We start from the raw sequence: 16,472 nt of genomic DNA, 5'->3' as shown, positions 1-16,472 counted from the left end.
CAGAGCATCAGCAGACTCAGGGCTGGTCGCGGGGTGTTCCCACACGCCTTCTCCTGACTGCCACCTCCCTATTGCTGTCTCAGCTCAAATGTCAACTCTCCATAAAGAGCCTCCACCAACCCATAAGTTTGCTGCATATTGGAACCACCTGGGGATCATTAAGTAATCCTGATGCCTTGTCTCACCGCCAGAAATTCTGATTTAATTGTTCCGTGGTGCTACCTGGGCATTAGGATTTTTAAGAACTCTCCAGATTATTCTAATATGCAGCCAAGATTGGGAACCACCGCATTACCCCGTTTGACTGATACCTCGATATTCTGATACTCTCTTATTTGCTGACTTGATGTTGTCCGGATCCAACATCATCCACTTTTGTACCCCAGCACCTCGTGCAATGTCTGACACACATACTAGGTCAACAAGTGTTTTCTAATATTGTGGAATCAACTGAATTTTACAGTGCGACTTCTGAGAAATGTAAGGAACTTCAGCATCTTCCAAGAGTTGCCACTGGGGCCGAGGAGAATTCAGGAAGTGTTTCAGATGGGGTCGCTCCCTGGACCTTAGGTAACAAGCAATTCCTGGCCCACACCTGCCCAACCCTCTTCAGGCCCCAGCTGGCAAGCAGAGCGGGATGTTAATGGGGCTGACGGTTCCCTCTAGGTCCTCCGCTTTGATCTGACCTAAGGCAGCACTGGGACCATCTAGCAGATCGCTCCCTGGCCCAAGAGCTTCTGATCACAGGGCAGGGTATCAGTGCTTGTTTACCTGCTTTGGGGGTCTCAGAGGACAAACAATGAAGGAGTCTCAGTGAAAGGGAAACTCTCACAGCGGGGTTCCGCACACGCAGCGCAAGGGGACGCTGCGTCTTCTGCGGCGCAAATCTTTCGACCCTCTGCGCTCTGCCGGGGGGTGCGGGACAGCCGGCTGCTGACCGGGGAAAGGACTGCAGCTTGTGGGCGCAAGCAGCTGCAAGGAAAGGCCTCAAAGCATCAATATAATTTTTAAGCTATTTCCCGCCAGTTGTGAGCCCGGGATGTCAAGCTAGCAAAAACTCCGACGTCTCCAAGGAACTAACTTAAAGATATATTATAAGTGAAAAAAGCAAGGTGGTTAATAAAGTGTATAAAAGCGTGCAGATGGGTGGGGGACAGATAAAGAGAAATTCAGGTGCGCTTACGTACTTGCTGGTGCAAACATAACATTATAGCCCCAGAAATACACAGGAGAAACTAATAGTGATTGCCTTCACTTCGAGGAATTGGGAGGCGCAAGAGTTGGTAATCTGGTGGCTTTTGGGTTGCTGGGTATTTTTTTTTTAACTCATGCAAGTACGTTAAGTATATATTGATTTTATATTATATAATATATACTACATATAATGTATTGTTGATATATTCATACATGTATGTAAGTGTTATCAGTTGTTGCAGTCAAGATGTCTAAATTAACCTCTGCCCTGGACGATGACCTAAGGGTACGGAGAAACAGAGAAGACTCTCGGCGTCAAGGACCAAAGAGGGAGGGTGAGAGGAAATATGTGGGATCCCCTACCCCCGTATCTTTTCCCAGAAGCCAATCTGGAATGGATGTGTATTTGTAGGGGGCGGTGATAAGATAAACTGGGGCGCTCGAATACCTGAGTGCCATCCAGACTGCATTTGGAGATCTAAGCCGCCAAAGGCTGGGAGGTGGGGAGGAGGACAAAGGAGGGGGTGGGATTGCGAAACCATCGCCCTTATCCTTCTCTGCGTCGTAAGCGCCAGGAACCCAGCCCCTAAGGGAGCCTTCCCTGACTGCAGCGCCTGACGCCTGGGTTTGAGCCCCTACGTGGACTTTTTTTTTTCTTTTTCCCGGGCTGCGCGTACCAGGGCGTGGGTGGGAGCGATAGTGCATCACCGGGGGAGCATTCGCCACTCGCTCAGAGCCCTAAAAGACTCCTCTGAGGCGGAGTTGGCTGTCGTGCTGGCAAGTGCGCAGTCCCAGAGAGGAGTGTTTCGGGATTAGGGTGTCCGCCGAGGTCCCGCGCTCAGAGGAGGGAGAGACCAGAGGAGCCTTCTCGCTTCCCAGCCCTTGCTCAATTGGAAGGCTTCAAACGTCTAGGGGGAGGCGAGAAGCGCTCCTAAAGTCCAAAAACCCTAGCTTTAGAGCGCGCTTTCATGCAGGAGGCAGGGGCACCGCAAACCCCAGCGAGGAGTAGGAGAAAAGGAAATTTATCTGGAAGGGGATGAGGGAGAGAACTGGCTGTTGCTTTGCCGCGCCTCTCTCTTCGGGACCGAGGGATCAGTTTTCTGTTAAAAGTTTCAGAGTTCCAGGCAGAAGGTACCGCCTTCTCCATCTTCTAGGTCCTCCTGGACTTAAGGTTCACAAGTTGTGTAACCTCAGGCAAGTTATTTTATCTCTCTGAGCCTGGATTTTCTTAACTGTAAAGCGAAGATGCTGAAAGCACCTACCTTCAAGAGGTGGGAGTGAGAGCCTAAATGGGATGATGTATGCCAAGGGCTTGGCCCAGCCCCAGCACTTAGAGAGTGGACAACCCATGTCATGATTATGCCAAGCAAGGATGACCGATTCTACCGCAAAGTTGGGATTTGCAACCGAGTCATGGAGCCCGGTTTTCTCCAGAGACTCATTCTGAAGGTCCACCGGCTGTAGATGGGTACTGAATGCCGTTCACTGGCTTGCTCCGAAGACTCACAGGGTCCCCGTTCCATAGCCTACATCTGTCCCCCCCAAAGAAAACAATGACCCAGCCCTGCCACCATTCACACGTACTTAATCCCCCCACTAGGAGCCCCGCAGCCCAGACCGCTCGAATTCACATCCCCAGGCTACCATTTTCAGCTGGGTGCTTTGAGCCAGGGTCTTCGCCTCTCTAAGCATCACTTTACTCTTCTGTAAAATGGGATTATAACAGTTTAGGGTGCTTTTTCTTTTAAAAGATTATACAAGTAAAGCAGAGCAAAGTCAGCTGCTGCTTTTCTTATTCTCCTCTTTTGTGAATTTGCAGATAAACTCTGTTCTTGAAAAGTCAGCCCTAAGTGGTGGAAAAATGATCCTAGCTGCTCTTTGTTGCCCCTTGGATACGCCTTTACTATGGCTCCTTGATATTCTGTGGGGGGAGGGAGTTCCAGGGACCGTCCCGGCCCCTACCGAGTGATTAAGCAGCCCAGGCCGGCTTGGCCTTCGGGGCCTCCTCCGGACTTCCCTCGACAGCCGCTCTCTGCGGTAGATCTTGCTCTGCACTTGCTCTGTCCCCTTAATTTGCAGATGCCGCCACTGAGGCCCGCAGGGACCCACAGCGAGTGGATCCAGATGGCCTCTTTTTCTGGACATCCAGTTAAGGGTGCCTTCTCCTGGAGCGAGAACCCTGCGGGAGGCTTCCGACTACTCACTTAACTCCTTCGTGGTCAGGCGTTTAACCAAGTAGGTGGAGAACAAAAGCTGAGCTAAATACCCTATTTTCTTTCTTTGACAAGTAATCGGCCGGAACGGCAAAATCCCAGCGGGTGGCGGGAGATACTGGAGGCCTTGGGAAAAACAGAATGCTAATGGCCGCCTGGAGGGGGCGGAAGGCACAGCCTGGTTAGGGCGCCCCAGCCGCCTCGCTTTGAAGTGCACCTCTCCAGCCGAGCTCACCGGGAGGGCACTTGATTTCCCCTTTCGGGGAAATAAAGAAGAGCTGCTAGAGTAACTGGGGACTCTCTTTGGTTCTGACTGACTCCCTCCTGCTTCCTACCCCTGGTTCACGTTGCTTTTGACCTGTTTGCTCCTGGCCTCCCCCATCGGACTGGGAATCCCCGGGAGGAAAAAGACTAAGGTTTATTCATCCTCATTTAGCTCCAGTATCTTAGTAAGAACGGTAAAAAGTAAGCTCAGTCTAAGTGTAATGGCGAGTAGTAGGAAAGACTTCCTATGTAGGTGCCAGGTACTGTTCTAATTGCTTCATATTAATTATGCTGTTATACAAGTGGGGAAATTGAGGCACACAGAAGTTAAAGAGCTTTCCCAGACTCACAAAGATAGTAAAGGTTACAGCCACAAATACATACAATTCTGATACAAGGTTCTGTTTTCTCTTAGAAGTCTGGAAAGGGAGACCTTTAAGGAATGACTGCGACGGTTTTCTATCCTGTTGTCTGTCCTTCCTTTCTCCTTCCCTCTCACTGTTTCTTACTTGGTTATGTTATGGGCTTACTTATTTCTGCCCCCAACCCAAACTTCCTCTCCCTACTTTTCTCACATAGGGTCTGGATTGGGGAATTCCAGCTACCCCTGTCATATTGAAGCCTTGGTCAACAGGATTTGGGTTCTGCCCACCTGTTGTGTAGACATCTTGCTGCACCTGTATCATAGGTGTGCCTTCTGTTGAAACATTAATTTTCATAGACTCTGTCAACTCTGTTAGTAAAGTACAATTGATTTACATTCAGATTAACATTTCTCCTTGGTGACATGGTGTTTGCTTCCCTTAGCAGCTGTACTACAATTCCAGCACTAACTTCTTTTTTTCTATTTTGCTATGGAAGAAGCTTAGCATGGACATACAGACAAAGGCCATGCCACAATGTAAGAACCTTGAGATAGAAAAGGTCTTAAAAATGATATATTTTAAAGTCTGAAAAAGATGAAAATATCATGTCTTTTAATTTAGAAAGATCTTTGTTTTCTTTTTCTCTTAGGAAAAAACTTTAGTCCTTGTGGTTATAAAGCCTAAGACCTGACACTGTCCCTGACCTCTGTTAGCTGTTCCAGCACACAGGTTTAGTAAATCTTTTCATTTAATTGATAAGCACCTACTGTGCTCCAGGCTTTTCAGGGTAGAAAAATGAGCAAGATAGATGGAGCCCCGTATAACTTTCGTATATAGTGTAGCAACAATTAGCCAAACGTTCCCAAAATACACTTTCTTGAGAGTGTTTTACTTTCTTTGCCTAATGTGGCTTTTCTTGTTATTATATATTCCCATATACATGATGAGGAAGAAGAAAAAGATGATGATAATGATGATGATAAAACAGCAGCTAAATACAGAAATTCATTAGCAGTTTAAAAATTACTTTCATAAAAAAGGTAAGTCATGATTTTGTGCTGTTGCCAAAGACTCTTGATTCAATCTTTAGGAGAAGATAATTTATCTTTTGTAATAAGCAACTATTAGTGTGTTTATTTATTAACTTCCATTTCAGGATTCCTTCACCTCCTCATATTTTAACAGTGAACCACAAAGTGCATTAGCAATGTAGATATATAGACTTAAAGCAAAGATAATAGTTTAAATTGGTCATTTTTGTTGAAAAAAATACCATGGGTTTAATATAACACTTCACGTCACACATGTGTAGCTCTGGTTTGGGGTTTTTTTGTTTTGTTTTGTTTTTGTTTTTTTGTAAAGCAAGTGGTCAGTGTATTTCAGTGTCATGGTGAAATATAAATTCTAAAAATTCTTATAAAAGTGAAACTTTTGGTGGGAGTATCTTGCTCTTGTCAGCAGAATCAACACTGCTTGTCTTTGCCAAGATGTTTTATCTTACGGGACATTTGCTTAAAAAAAAATGAAACATGAACAACCTAACGGTGATTAAAGCTCCCTCCCTCTTTGGAAAGCACAGCAGAGGTGGCAGATCTGGCCATCAGAGAACAAAGGGCCAAAGAGTGAACCTGAGTTGGTGAAATAAAATGTAACATCAACAAAGAAAGGGCCATAGATAAATAGTAAAAGGACCAACTCACCACAAAAAACCCATTGACGCTTTCCCAGAGTCCAGGCGAAGCGCTGGTGACCGGTTAATGTTGGAATGTTTTCCTAGGGTTAAAAGGAGAACCGGCAGCAAGTCTGCTCAGAATTTACAAAGTGTTTGAATAACATGGACAGTGTTTTGATAACACGTTTTTAGTGGGGGTGAAAATAATAGTATTTATTGGGACATTTATATGGGCCCCCTTGGTTGTGGGGGGTGGGTGGCACATGGGGAGAGGTAAACCTTATATCATTGCACTCATCTATAACTCACCTCTGTAACATACCCATATGTGTGTAAATGTATTTCTTATATAATAATCCTGTTCCAACCAAATGCTTCTCAGTTTTGCTTTTAAAAGATCAATGCATGGCTAGTGGTTACCTTTAAGGGGGAGAAAGAGATAAAGAGGTCATCTGGTCAAGTTGGCAATAACTTTGACCAAGACAGTGGTATGAAGTTGGTATTATTCCTCAGAACAATAGAGCGTGAGATCTTTAATGTGTTCACACACAGACTTGGCCTTGGCTTCCTGGTAGCCTTTAAAGATTCCTGCTTGCTCCATCTCAGGCTGAAAGGTACAAGATTTGAGTTAATCCAGCAGGTATTTGGGTCTGGGGTTTCAAGGGGTTTCCATGTTTCCTCCCCAGTGTTGATGTTTTTGTTCAATGTATTCCAATACACTGTCAGTTGAGCCACATAAAACCAGGCACCTTTCAATAAATGTCTCATTTGGATTTCATGAAGCTTGGGGTGTAATTGAAATCAAACAGCAAACAGGCTGGAAGGCTCTGTTATTTGCCCACCCAGTCTAAGGAGGGTGCTGCCTGACATGTTCACTTAAGCCACTGCTTTGGCTTTCTTTTCTATTCCTACTTCTGGAAAGGAGTGCCTGGATTTTAAAGTGTGGCTGGGACACGTGAAAATATTTTTTATGTCTCTTCCCCTGGCTATAATATTGAGCCAGCAAAAGGAAAGCCCATTTCAAGCAGGAAATCACAGACTTGCTCATCTATAACTCTCCAGGCATTCTAGACTAGTATATTCTAAATGTAATAATAATAATAATAATGTGATTAGCTAATTAACACAGAGGAACCATTAAATGAGATTTTTTATCTTCAGCCAGAAAAAAAAAGATCTGTAGCTGAAACAGTGCTTTTCATTATTTTAAAGAGAATTTGTAACATATACTTACAAATGTAATGTAATACAATATGTAATATAATATTATGTACATATTTTCCATGTTCCAAAAATCCTGGGTCCTAGAGTAGTTTTATAGAAACTGAATTTTTATTCTCTTTGAATTTGTCTTTGCTCCTCCATATGTAAAATGTGTTGAAGTTTGGGAAAAATAATAGATTTACTGGGGAAGTGGGTAGATATCAACCAAAATTTCCTGTCCCCAAGAATCAATACAAATTCTAATTATATACATCGTGTGTATATTTAATAATTAGGTGGTGCTCATACTGAACTCATGCGCTTTCAAAAGCTTGCTCTGGGGCTGGAATAAAATCAACGCTTTCTGATGTGGCTCGGGGGACAGCTGGCCCGCGTTATTCGCGCCAGAGTGGGTCGGAACGATGCCTGTTGCCTGCGATGGCACTTTGCCACGCGAAGCGCTTCCCTGGCTGCGTCAAAAGCATTTTGAAGGGACGCCGAGGCCCGCTTCTTGCTTTGTTAAAGCGCAAAACTGTCATGTACCTTTGGCCACCCTAGCTCCAAATAACGTGAGATTAGGTCTCACATTAGGGAGATTTCTCATCCCTACTTTTGCCTTAGATATCTTGCAACTCAGGTAAAGGATAATGTGGAGGATCCTACGAATAGTAATCAGGACCCGCTAGCCCAGGGATAGATACGTCGTCCAAGCCGCCCAAGCTGCACGGCCTCTTTCTTTCCTTGAGCTCGCGTACCCCTCACGGGATCTTCACGTTGACAGTCATGAGGTATTCACAGAGCTATACTACTTGAACAATCAATGTTCTAGACTTCCTTGGGTCAAAATAACACTAAAGCAGGGGAGGAAGGCATGGACAATGTAGTGATCAAAACAGCCGTGCCAAACACTAACTATACTGATGACACAAAACGCAGGAAGCGCAGGGCAGAACGCGCTCAGTACCAGCTTTCTGGCGATCTGCTCCTGGCCACTCTGTCCCAGGACCTACAAGGCCACCGCCCCAGCCCACTAGTCTCAACTTGCCCCCTCCCCTGTGGCTGTGCCTTGACCCTGAAAATCTTCGCGCACTCCTGGGTTTCACCACCACACACACGCGAGCGCGCGAGCGCGCGAACACACACATCAAAAAAGAAAAAAAAAACCGTGATAAATGCCCTGGAGAGTCTAAGTGCATTAAGGACCTCGTTCTCGGAGACCCCAGACATGCCGATGTTGGTGCTGCTGTGGTTGGAAAACTGGGTTGGAAAGCTTCGCACTGTTCTACACTTGCGTGTGCGCACTCAGCAATCCTTTGGCCATCTCATCTGTTGTGGGCGAAGAGTTTCCCGTGTGATCGCGTTCGGTTGGGGAAGCAGAGTCCCGACATCTCAGCCGGAAAATGCGCTCCCGGAGCGATTACTGGCGGCGTCTGTAATTGCTTATTAACAGCGAATATTCAGGCTTCTCCTTATCCGCAACGAAACGTGCCCCCCGCTTCCGTAATAATGAAACGATAAAATATGACGGCCCCGCTCTTGAATCTATCTGAGGAAACGCAGCGAAGAAACAAGCAGCTGGAGTTTAATTCAATATCAAACTGATTATTTCACTAATTATTCTACCTTCTGTATTTGCCGCAGAGCAGAGGCGCAGGGAATCCTAACTGTGGGGCTGTTAGGGAAGCTTTGTTTCTTGGTGTCAGGCCTAACTGAAGATGGTGGTGAAGGGACGGAATCCGGGATCAGGAAAACTGAGCAGAAAGGATTTTAAATTGTGGGGAATAAAAGTGACTGTCTCCCCGAAAGCAGTTGTGTTGGCGTGAGTATGAAGTTGGTGTTAGCTCGCTTAGTTTCACTCTTGTCCTGTCCCCAGTACCCTGTCCAAGCTTCTGATTTAGAAGCTGAGAGCTTAGGTCCTCCAGGATGGCAATGTGCTCTGGCCGTCCCCGGAATCCCAAAAGCTTAGCGCGAGTTTCCTCTCTACAAACCTTTCCCACTGGGTAAAAGGATGGGAACAAACAAAAAGTGGTTCTGTGCGTTGAAGGCCAGGGAGTTTGCCTTCGACAAGAGGAAGGTGTGCTTTGAAGTTACAGCTTCCGACGAGGAAAGAGACTTCCTTGGGCCTGTCTCCAACTTGCCCCAGTTTCCCCAGCCTCCGGGACGGGCGCTTCCCTGCAAGCTATCAGCTTGAAGAGTCTTTCTCTCTCTGGCCTCTAAAATCTGCTCCAGCCATCTCATTCCTCCAGCGGAGGGCTGAGATGACTAATGCGCCAAGGGTGGACACCGCTATGGAGACCCCAAACTTTGTCCCCCTAAATTCCGGCGAAATTACAGACACCAGGATTGATTATCACAGCGGGACGCAGTCTCAAAAAAAAAAAAAAAAAAAAAAAAAAAAAAAGGAAAAGAAAGTCACAGGCGACTTGATCCAATTAGTAAATGCCTAATTGAATTAGTGTCACCTCCACCAGCCAATAGGAGGGTCTCCGGGCTGTGAGGCCGGGAAGCCCCTCCCTGGCCGCAAATATATAAAGCAGCTAGTGACAGCCCATAAGTTTCCAAGTGGTCAACTTGACCGATGCTTTGGCAATTGAAAAAGGGCAGAAAGGCGCGGGCTAGTGGGTGGATGGGGACAAAGATCTAAGTCACCTTCTTCCAGCGTGTGAGCCTGGGAGGAGGGTGGGGGTCCTGAGGAGCAAGAGGTACGAGGAAGGAAAAGGAGAGGGCTTCTGGGTTAGTTTCCACCTCCTGCTTTCCAACTCACGGCGCTTTCCTTCCGGAAAGGACGCTGGATTCAGGGCGCGCCAGTACGCGCAGTAGCGGCCCGCGAGTCGGCAGGTGGGTAGCCCCGGCGCGGGAGGAAGGGGAAGTTACCTTCCCCTCGGAAGAGGGCGCTGGCTCCCCCATCCTGCCTTTATAATAAGGCCACCGGAGGAGAGGAAGCAGCCAGCTGCCGTCTGCGCTTTGCAAAGCATGCAGTTAGGGGAGCAGCTCTTGGTGAGCTCAGTGAACCTGCCTGGCGCGCACTTCTACCCGCTGGAGAGTGCGCGAGGCGGCAGCGGCGGGAGCGCTGGCCACCTCCCCAGCGCGGCCCCCTCTCCTCAGAAGTTGGACTTAGACAAAGCGTCCAAGAAGTTTTCCGGCAGTCTCTCCTGCGAGGCGGTGAGCGGGGAGCCCGCAGCCGCCAGCGCAGGGGCCCCCGCGGCCATGCTTAGTGACACCGACGCCGGGGACGCATTTGCCAGCGCTGCGGCAGTGGCCAAGCCGGGGCCCCCGGACGGCCGCAAGGGCTCCCCCTGCGGGGAGGAGGAGCTGCCCTCCGCCGCTGCAGCCGCCGCCGCCGCCGCCGCCGCGGCTGCGGCCACTGCGCGCTACTCCATGGACAGCCTGAGCTCCGAGCGGTACTACCTCCAGTCCCCCGGTCCTCAGGGGTCGGAGCTGGCTGCGCCCTGCTCACTCTTCCCGTACCAGGCGGCGGCTGGGGCGCCCCACGGACCTGTGTACCCGGCTCCTAACGGGGCGCGCTACCCCTACGGCTCCATGCTGCCCCCCGGCGGCTTCCCCGCGGCTGTGTGCCCACCCGGGAGGGCGCAGTTCGGCCCAGGAGCCGGTGCGGGCAGTGGCGCGGGCGGTAGCAGCGGCGGGGGCGGCGGCCCGGGCACCTATCAGTACAGCCAGGGGGCTCCGCTCTACGGGCCGTACCCTGGAGCCGCAGCGGCGGGATCTTGCGGAGGACTGGGGGGCCTGGGGGTTCCAGGTTCTGGCTTCCGTGCCCACGTCTACCTGTGCAACCGGCCTCTGTGGCTCAAATTCCACCGCCACCAAACTGAGATGATCATTACGAAACAGGGCAGGTGAGCGCAGCGTGGAGGGGCCCCTGGGTTCGGGGATAAAGGGTGACGTGTGGTCCTGGGGAAGGTCCGGGATGAGGGAGCTGAACCCAGTTGTTCCGCGCGGTGCTTAGAGTGTTTCACCGCGCGCAATAAATCTCCGTAGACACCGCATCTCCAATGCGGTGTCCCTCTGTGTCAGTGCCCCGGCGGCTCTTGCAGGGTGCCAATGTTACGGCTGTACACCGCTTTTCCCTCCCATCATCCTCACCTGAACAGACCTGGAGGAGGCGGAAATGGAAATTAGGGCATGTCCACAAGCTGGATTCGTTAGATCCTCCTGCTCGGCGGTATGCTTGTGCATGCCTGCATGCCGGCAAGGAGCCACGGATAGGGAAGGCTCAAGAGCTGGCCACCTGAGCGCAGTAGATGGGCTCCCGCAGTTTTAGGCGCCAGGGTCTCCACGGGGCGTCTCCGGGAGGTGGGCATGAAGGCTAGAGCGCCGGCCTCGGAAGCTCGGTCGGAGTAGGTGGTTAGATCTGCCCTGGAGCCAGACCTGGCTCGGGTTCGGTGCGCGAGAAAGTTCTGATATACATCCAACTGCTAACACTGGCTACTTCTGGGGAAAGGGAGGGGTGGGTGCTGAGAGAGGGGCACTCAAAGGGGACTTTTAGCCTAAAGTTTTAATATATATTTTTAACAAGAATAACCTAATATTGTTCTCTGGTACTTTTCAAAATGGTGCATTTAAAAATTAGTAGTTTTTAACATTCTAGGAGAAAAATTTTAAGAGCGTCTGAAAGGGCCGAGAATATGAGCCTTCGGAAGCACGCGCGAATTTGGAATATACCGATGTTGGGGCAAGCTTTTTTTTTTTTTTTTTTTTTTTTTTTTTTTTTTTTTTTTGAAAAGACGGAAAGGTTCCAAGAGTTGCCAACTCAAAAATATTTTACATAGTTTCAGACCACTTGATCTACCAGCATTCTGTTCACTGCAAACTTTTAAATGTGTTCCGACCCTATCCCAGGTGTCTGGGGAACCCGCTGGGGCCTGGGCCTGTTCTAGGACATCCCAATTAAAATCGATTTTTCTGATTCTATTCCCTTGCACAGGCGCATGTTTCCTTTCTTGAGCTTCAACATAAACGGACTCAATCCCACTGCCCACTACAATGTGTTCGTAGAGGTGGTGCTGGCGGACCCCAACCACTGGCGCTTCCAGGGGGGCAAATGGGTGACCTGTGGCAAAGCCGACAATAACATGCAGGGTGAGCAGAGAAGAGGCTCGGGCCGGGGAGGAACGGGCGGGAAGAAATCGTAACCCTCGACTCACACAACTCACATTTAAATGTAGCACTTTTTTTTTCCCCTTCCATTCTGAGGCCTAGAGGTGTTAGTATGAGTGTCTTTGAGTTGCTTGTTTGACGGAGAGGAGAGTTTGCTAAGTCAGATTTCTTGTCTGCCAATATGTAGATATTTAGAACCTTTAACTAAGACATCACCCCACCCCCCAATCCCTACGTTTAACAAATCAGTAGTCATAAGCTCTCCAGGTGGGAAGGGCTCCTGGGATTCTAATGTTCACTTGAGAAAGCCCAGCCAAAGTTTAGTTCACCCATAAATATCCAACTGTCTTCCATCGGATGTTGCCCTTACAGCTTTAGAAGGCCCCAAATTGACCTTCAAGAGTCATCTCTTGTTAGCTCCGTTTCTAAATTCTGAAATGCCATTCAGGGGAGTCCCTAGTGCAAGGAAGGTTGGAAGCACAGGGGCCTGGGAGGGATATGGATGTAGTCCTGCTGGTCTCCACTGGCCTCTTTAAGCAACTTTTACTGGGAGACCAACTGTAAGTCTAGCTCTTATATCTTGCTCATAGCTAAGAGACATCCCTCCGCTTTCTCCATTTGTAAACAGCCCTATATGCTTGGGTTTTGTGTTTTGTTTCATTTTCTCTTAGGCAACAAAATGTATGTTCACCCAGAGTCTCCTAATACTGGTTCCCACTGGATGAGACAGGAGATTTCATTCGGGAAATTAAAACTCACCAATAACAAAGGCGCAAATAACAACAACACCCAGGTAGAGTGACAGAGCAGGAGGGGATATCTTCTGGCTTTGACTATAAGGCTTTTTTCTAATAAGAGTCCCTACTCTTTTCACTGTATTTATAATATTTGCATTTGTGACCTGTTTGCTCGCCTATTTCTAACCATTTTTGTTCTTTTGACCTTTCTCATCTTCACTTTCTTATTGGATTTCGATAACAGTGAGTTGACTATTAAGAACAGAAATAGCGAAGTATTTTGGGAATTTAGGAAACCAAGAGGAAAGCATATCTATCACAACCACATACCCAGCTATGATTTAAATTTCAAAAAAAAAGGGGGGGGGCAATAATGAGACCTTTAAACTTGCAATAAACAAAGCTGTTAGTGAGGAGCATTTAGAAGTCCAATACCAAAATACATAATTTGTCAAAATCTAATTTTGTTGAACCACTAAGAGGCTTTTTAGATTTAGCAATTTTTTTCTGTACTCTTTCCAGATGATAGTCTTACAATCCTTACACAAATACCAACCCCGACTGCATATTGTTGAAGTTACAGAGGATGGCGTGGAGGACTTGAATGAGCCCTCAAAGACCCAGACTTTTACCTTCTCAGAAACGCAATTCATTGCAGTGACTGCCTACCAAAACACCGATGTGAGTGTCCCAGACATCTCAAGAATCTCTAAAGCTAAGGTCCAGCATGATAAATCACTCAATGACTGTTTTTCTCCCCTATCTAGATTACTCAACTAAAGATTGATCATAACCCCTTTGCAAAAGGCTTCAGAGACAACTATGATTCGTAAGTGCAGCTTTTATCCACACTTGCCTGATCATCTCTGAGCAGGACATACATCAACAGGCACTTTGCTGATAATGTATTTTAGGAAGAGCTTTTACCTTTGGGATTTTTACATATTTTTCTTTTTCCAAAATTTTTTCCTTTACTAATCTTGCTTTAGATTTTTCTCAGAAAGGTTGTGTTAATTTCTGAAGAAATGTTAAGGACTTAAAAATGAAGAGGTTTTTTTAGCATTTGAGTGAAGATTTGAAATTTTAAGAATCTGCATTTATATATACCTTTCTTTTCATTTGATCCATTTTTTTATCCTCCCAAGAGCAGATATTATTACTCTCCCCCACCCCCACTTTTTTTTTTAACATAAGAAAAAACTGAAACTAAGAGGATGTAATTTCACAACACGAAATAGCAAGGCCCTGCTCTTTTTAAAATCTGAGTTTTCTACCGCCACAGCCAGTGTTTTTTCCATCACATTGACAAAGGAGGTTTGATCTGAGTTTTTCGTGTTCTAGGACTAGTAAAGGTAGATTTTCTATAGTTTAAATACTTGATGCCTAGGAGGAAACTTTTTCTTGCATGGTGGGAAATTTTTCCCAATAAGCCAAGAGTCCAGCTAAAATGGGCCAGTGCATCTCCTGCCTCTGTTCTTTCAGCCCAACAGACCAGCACTTTCGGTGTAGATAACCAACACAAGCCTTTTTCATTTCTGGGAGGTGGTTTGTTTGGGGACAACATTAGGGTTTTTTTTTTTTTTTAAGTGTTTCTCTTTATATTGTAGCATGTACACCGCTTCAGAAAATGACAGGTTAACTCCATCTCCCACGGATTCTCCTAGATCCCATCAGATTGTCCCTGGAGGTCGGTACGGCGTTCAATCCTTCTTCCCGGAGCCCTTTGTCAACACTTTACCTCAAGCCCGCTATTATAATGGCGAGAGAACCGTGCCACAGACCAACGGCCTCCTTTCACCCCAACAGAGCGAAGAGGTGGCCAACCCTCCCCAGCGGTGGCTTGTCACGCCTGTCCAGCAACCTGGGACCAACAAACTAGACATCAGTTCCTATGAATCTGAATATACTTCTAGCACATTGCTCCCATATGGCATTAAATCCTTGCCCCTTCAGACATCCCATGCCCTGGGGTATTACCCAGACCCAACCTTTCCTGCAATGGCAGGGTGGGGAGGTCGAGGTTCTTACCAGAGGAAGATGGCAGCTGGACTACCATGGACCTCCAGAACAAGCCCCACTGTGTTCTCTGAAGATCAGCTCTCCAAGGAGAAAGTGAAAGAGGAAATTGGCTCTTCTTGGATAGAGACACCCCCTTCCATCAAATCTCTAGATTCCAATGATTCAGGAGTATACACCAGTGCTTGTAAGCGAAGGCGGCTGTCTCCTAGCAACTCCAGTAATGAAAATTCACCCTCCATAAAGTGTGAGGACATTAATGCTGAAGAGTATAGTAAAGACACCTCAAAAGGCATGGGAGGGTATTATGCTTTTTACACAACTCCCTAAAGAGTTATTTTAACCTCAAAAATTAGCTAACTTTTTGCAGATGGACTTGGTGGTGTTTTTTGTTGTCTTCTTTGCCTAGGTTGCCAAAAAGATGTTTGCCTTCCACCTTGATGCATCCTGTTTTGTGCAATTCTCTAAAAGAAGGTGCCAAAGCTTTTTGATTGCTGCAGGTAACTGAAACAAACCTAGCATTTTTAAAAAATAAGATTAATGGAAGACTTTAAGGTATTTTAAAATTCGAAGGGTATCCAAGGTTCTGTATTTATTTATTGGGGAGACACTAACCCTTCAAAGAAGCAGGCTGTGAACATTGGGTGCCCAGTGCTATCAGATGAGTTAAAACCTTTGATTCTCATTTCTATTTGTAAATTCTTAAGCAAATAGAAGCCGAGTGTTAAGGTGTTTTGCTTCTGAAAGAGGGCTGTGCCTTCCGTTTCAGAAGGAGACATTTTGCTGTTACATTCTGCCAGGGGCAAAAGATACTAGGCCCAGGAGTCAAGAAAAGCTTTTGTGAAAGTGATAGTTTCACCTGACTTTGATTCCTTAACCCCCGGCTTTTGGAACAAGCCATGTTTGCCCTAGTCCAGGATTGCCTCACTTGAGACTTGCTAGGCCTCTGCTGTGTGCTGGGGTGGCCAGTGGGACTCAGGAGAGAGCAAGCTAAGGAGTCACCAAAAAAAAAAAAAAAAAAAAGGGAGAATTTAAAAGTGTACAGTTGTGTGTTTAGATACACTATAGAATAATGTGGTATATATTGTACAAATAGTCTACATAGGTGTCTGGGATAATGTAAAACTGGTGCTTTGGCTTTGTAAAGAATTTGCAAATCACTTAACAGCTGCAGGGGCAAGGGGAGAGTTTCATCATCCCCATGATATTTGGGAATATTCTGTTTACTTCTTAGATAGTTAAGAATGTATTCAGCTACTATGTACTAACTTGAACCGTGTTTAAGGAAAACTCCTATTTCATCCTCTTCTTGCGCCATCCCCTCTCCCTAACTTGGTAATGTGAAGAAACTAAAACCTGATACCACAGCTCCTATAGGCATTTTAGAGATCTTGGATTTTTATGTACAGTCTTAGTCATTTTTAATAAATGTGGTTCAGTAAGGGAACGGACATAGCTCTGTCTTCTGTGCTGTTGGGGTTTTCATCTTTGCTTTAAAGATCTCATTTTGCTTCCTCCTGTATCGTTTTCAGCTTTAACAGTGCCTCACCCATCCCCTACCTCCACGGAAGGCTCTAGAATCTCTAACTGGATACTGTAGTCATGCGGGGGTGGGGATGTTTTGTTTATCTTCTTTTTTCCTTGAAGTGGAATGGGGCTATTTCCTTACCCCACTGGGAAGTCTGGACAATGG

General features: G+C 46.8%; 1 protein-coding gene across 4 annotated transcripts, besides 5 other annotated features; it reads left to right on the top strand.

The window, feature by feature from the left end:
* Positions 1,162-2,093: an enhancer, noted in NCBI's record as "H3K4me1 hESC enhancer chr3:27771577-27772508 (GRCh37/hg19 assembly coordinates)". NCBI's record gives its function as "activates a minimal SCP1, AML or CMV promoter by ChIP-STARR-seq in naive H9 embryonic stem cells {active_cell/tissue: H9 hESC(naive)}" and the evidence as "EXISTENCE:reporter gene assay evidence [ECO:0000049][PMID:30033119]".
* Positions 2,094-3,023: an enhancer, noted in NCBI's record as "NANOG-H3K27ac-H3K4me1 hESC enhancer chr3:27770647-27771576 (GRCh37/hg19 assembly coordinates)". NCBI's record gives its function as "activates a minimal SCP1, AML or CMV promoter by ChIP-STARR-seq in naive and primed H9 embryonic stem cells {active_cell/tissue: H9 hESC(naive and primed)}" and the evidence as "EXISTENCE:reporter gene assay evidence [ECO:0000049][PMID:30033119]".
* Positions 3,024-3,955: an enhancer, noted in NCBI's record as "OCT4-NANOG-H3K27ac-H3K4me1 hESC enhancer chr3:27769715-27770646 (GRCh37/hg19 assembly coordinates)". NCBI's record gives its function as "activates a minimal SCP1, AML or CMV promoter by ChIP-STARR-seq in naive and primed H9 embryonic stem cells {active_cell/tissue: H9 hESC(naive and primed)}" and the evidence as "EXISTENCE:reporter gene assay evidence [ECO:0000049][PMID:30033119]".
* Positions 6,801-7,675: an enhancer, noted in NCBI's record as "H3K4me1 hESC enhancer chr3:27765995-27766869 (GRCh37/hg19 assembly coordinates)". NCBI's record gives its function as "activates a minimal SCP1, AML or CMV promoter by ChIP-STARR-seq in primed H9 embryonic stem cells {active_cell/tissue: H9 hESC(primed)}" and the evidence as "EXISTENCE:reporter gene assay evidence [ECO:0000049][PMID:30033119]".
* On the top strand, positions 9,466-16,226 carry EOMES (eomesodermin). 4 transcript variants are annotated; one of them, XM_005265510.5, is made up of 7 exons: positions 9,856-10,765; positions 11,854-12,008; positions 12,698-12,819; positions 13,286-13,444; positions 13,531-13,592; positions 14,371-14,450; positions 14,570-16,226. In XM_005265510.5, exons 1-7 carry the CDS (start codon positions 9,885-9,887, stop codon positions 14,656-14,658), a joined length of 1,548 nt encoding a protein of 515 aa, XP_005265567.1. In that variant the 5' UTR covers positions 9,856-9,884; the 3' UTR covers positions 14,659-16,226. The 4 variants fall into 4 exon arrangements, with proteins under 4 accessions (NP_001265112.1, XP_005265567.1, NP_005433.2 ...); NM_001278183.2 differs by lacking the exon at positions 9,856-10,765 and adding an exon at positions 9,466-9,749 and having other exon boundaries at positions 14,371-16,226; NM_005442.4 differs by having other exon boundaries at positions 14,428-16,226.
* Positions 10,221-10,430: a silencer, noted in NCBI's record as "silent region_14153". NCBI's record gives its function as "represses an Ori minimal core promoter by ATAC-STARR-seq in GM12878 lymphoblastoid cells {active_cell/tissue: GM12878}" and the evidence as "EXISTENCE:reporter gene assay evidence [ECO:0000049][PMID:35858748]".

Source organism: Homo sapiens, chromosome 3 (assembly GCF_000001405.40).
Source record: "Homo sapiens chromosome 3, GRCh38.p14 Primary Assembly".
In the NCBI taxonomy this organism is placed as follows: Eukaryota; Metazoa; Chordata; class Mammalia; order Primates; family Hominidae; genus Homo; species Homo sapiens.
The sequence above is the reverse complement of the archived record's forward strand: the minus strand, read 5'-3'. Positions and strand labels throughout refer to the sequence as shown.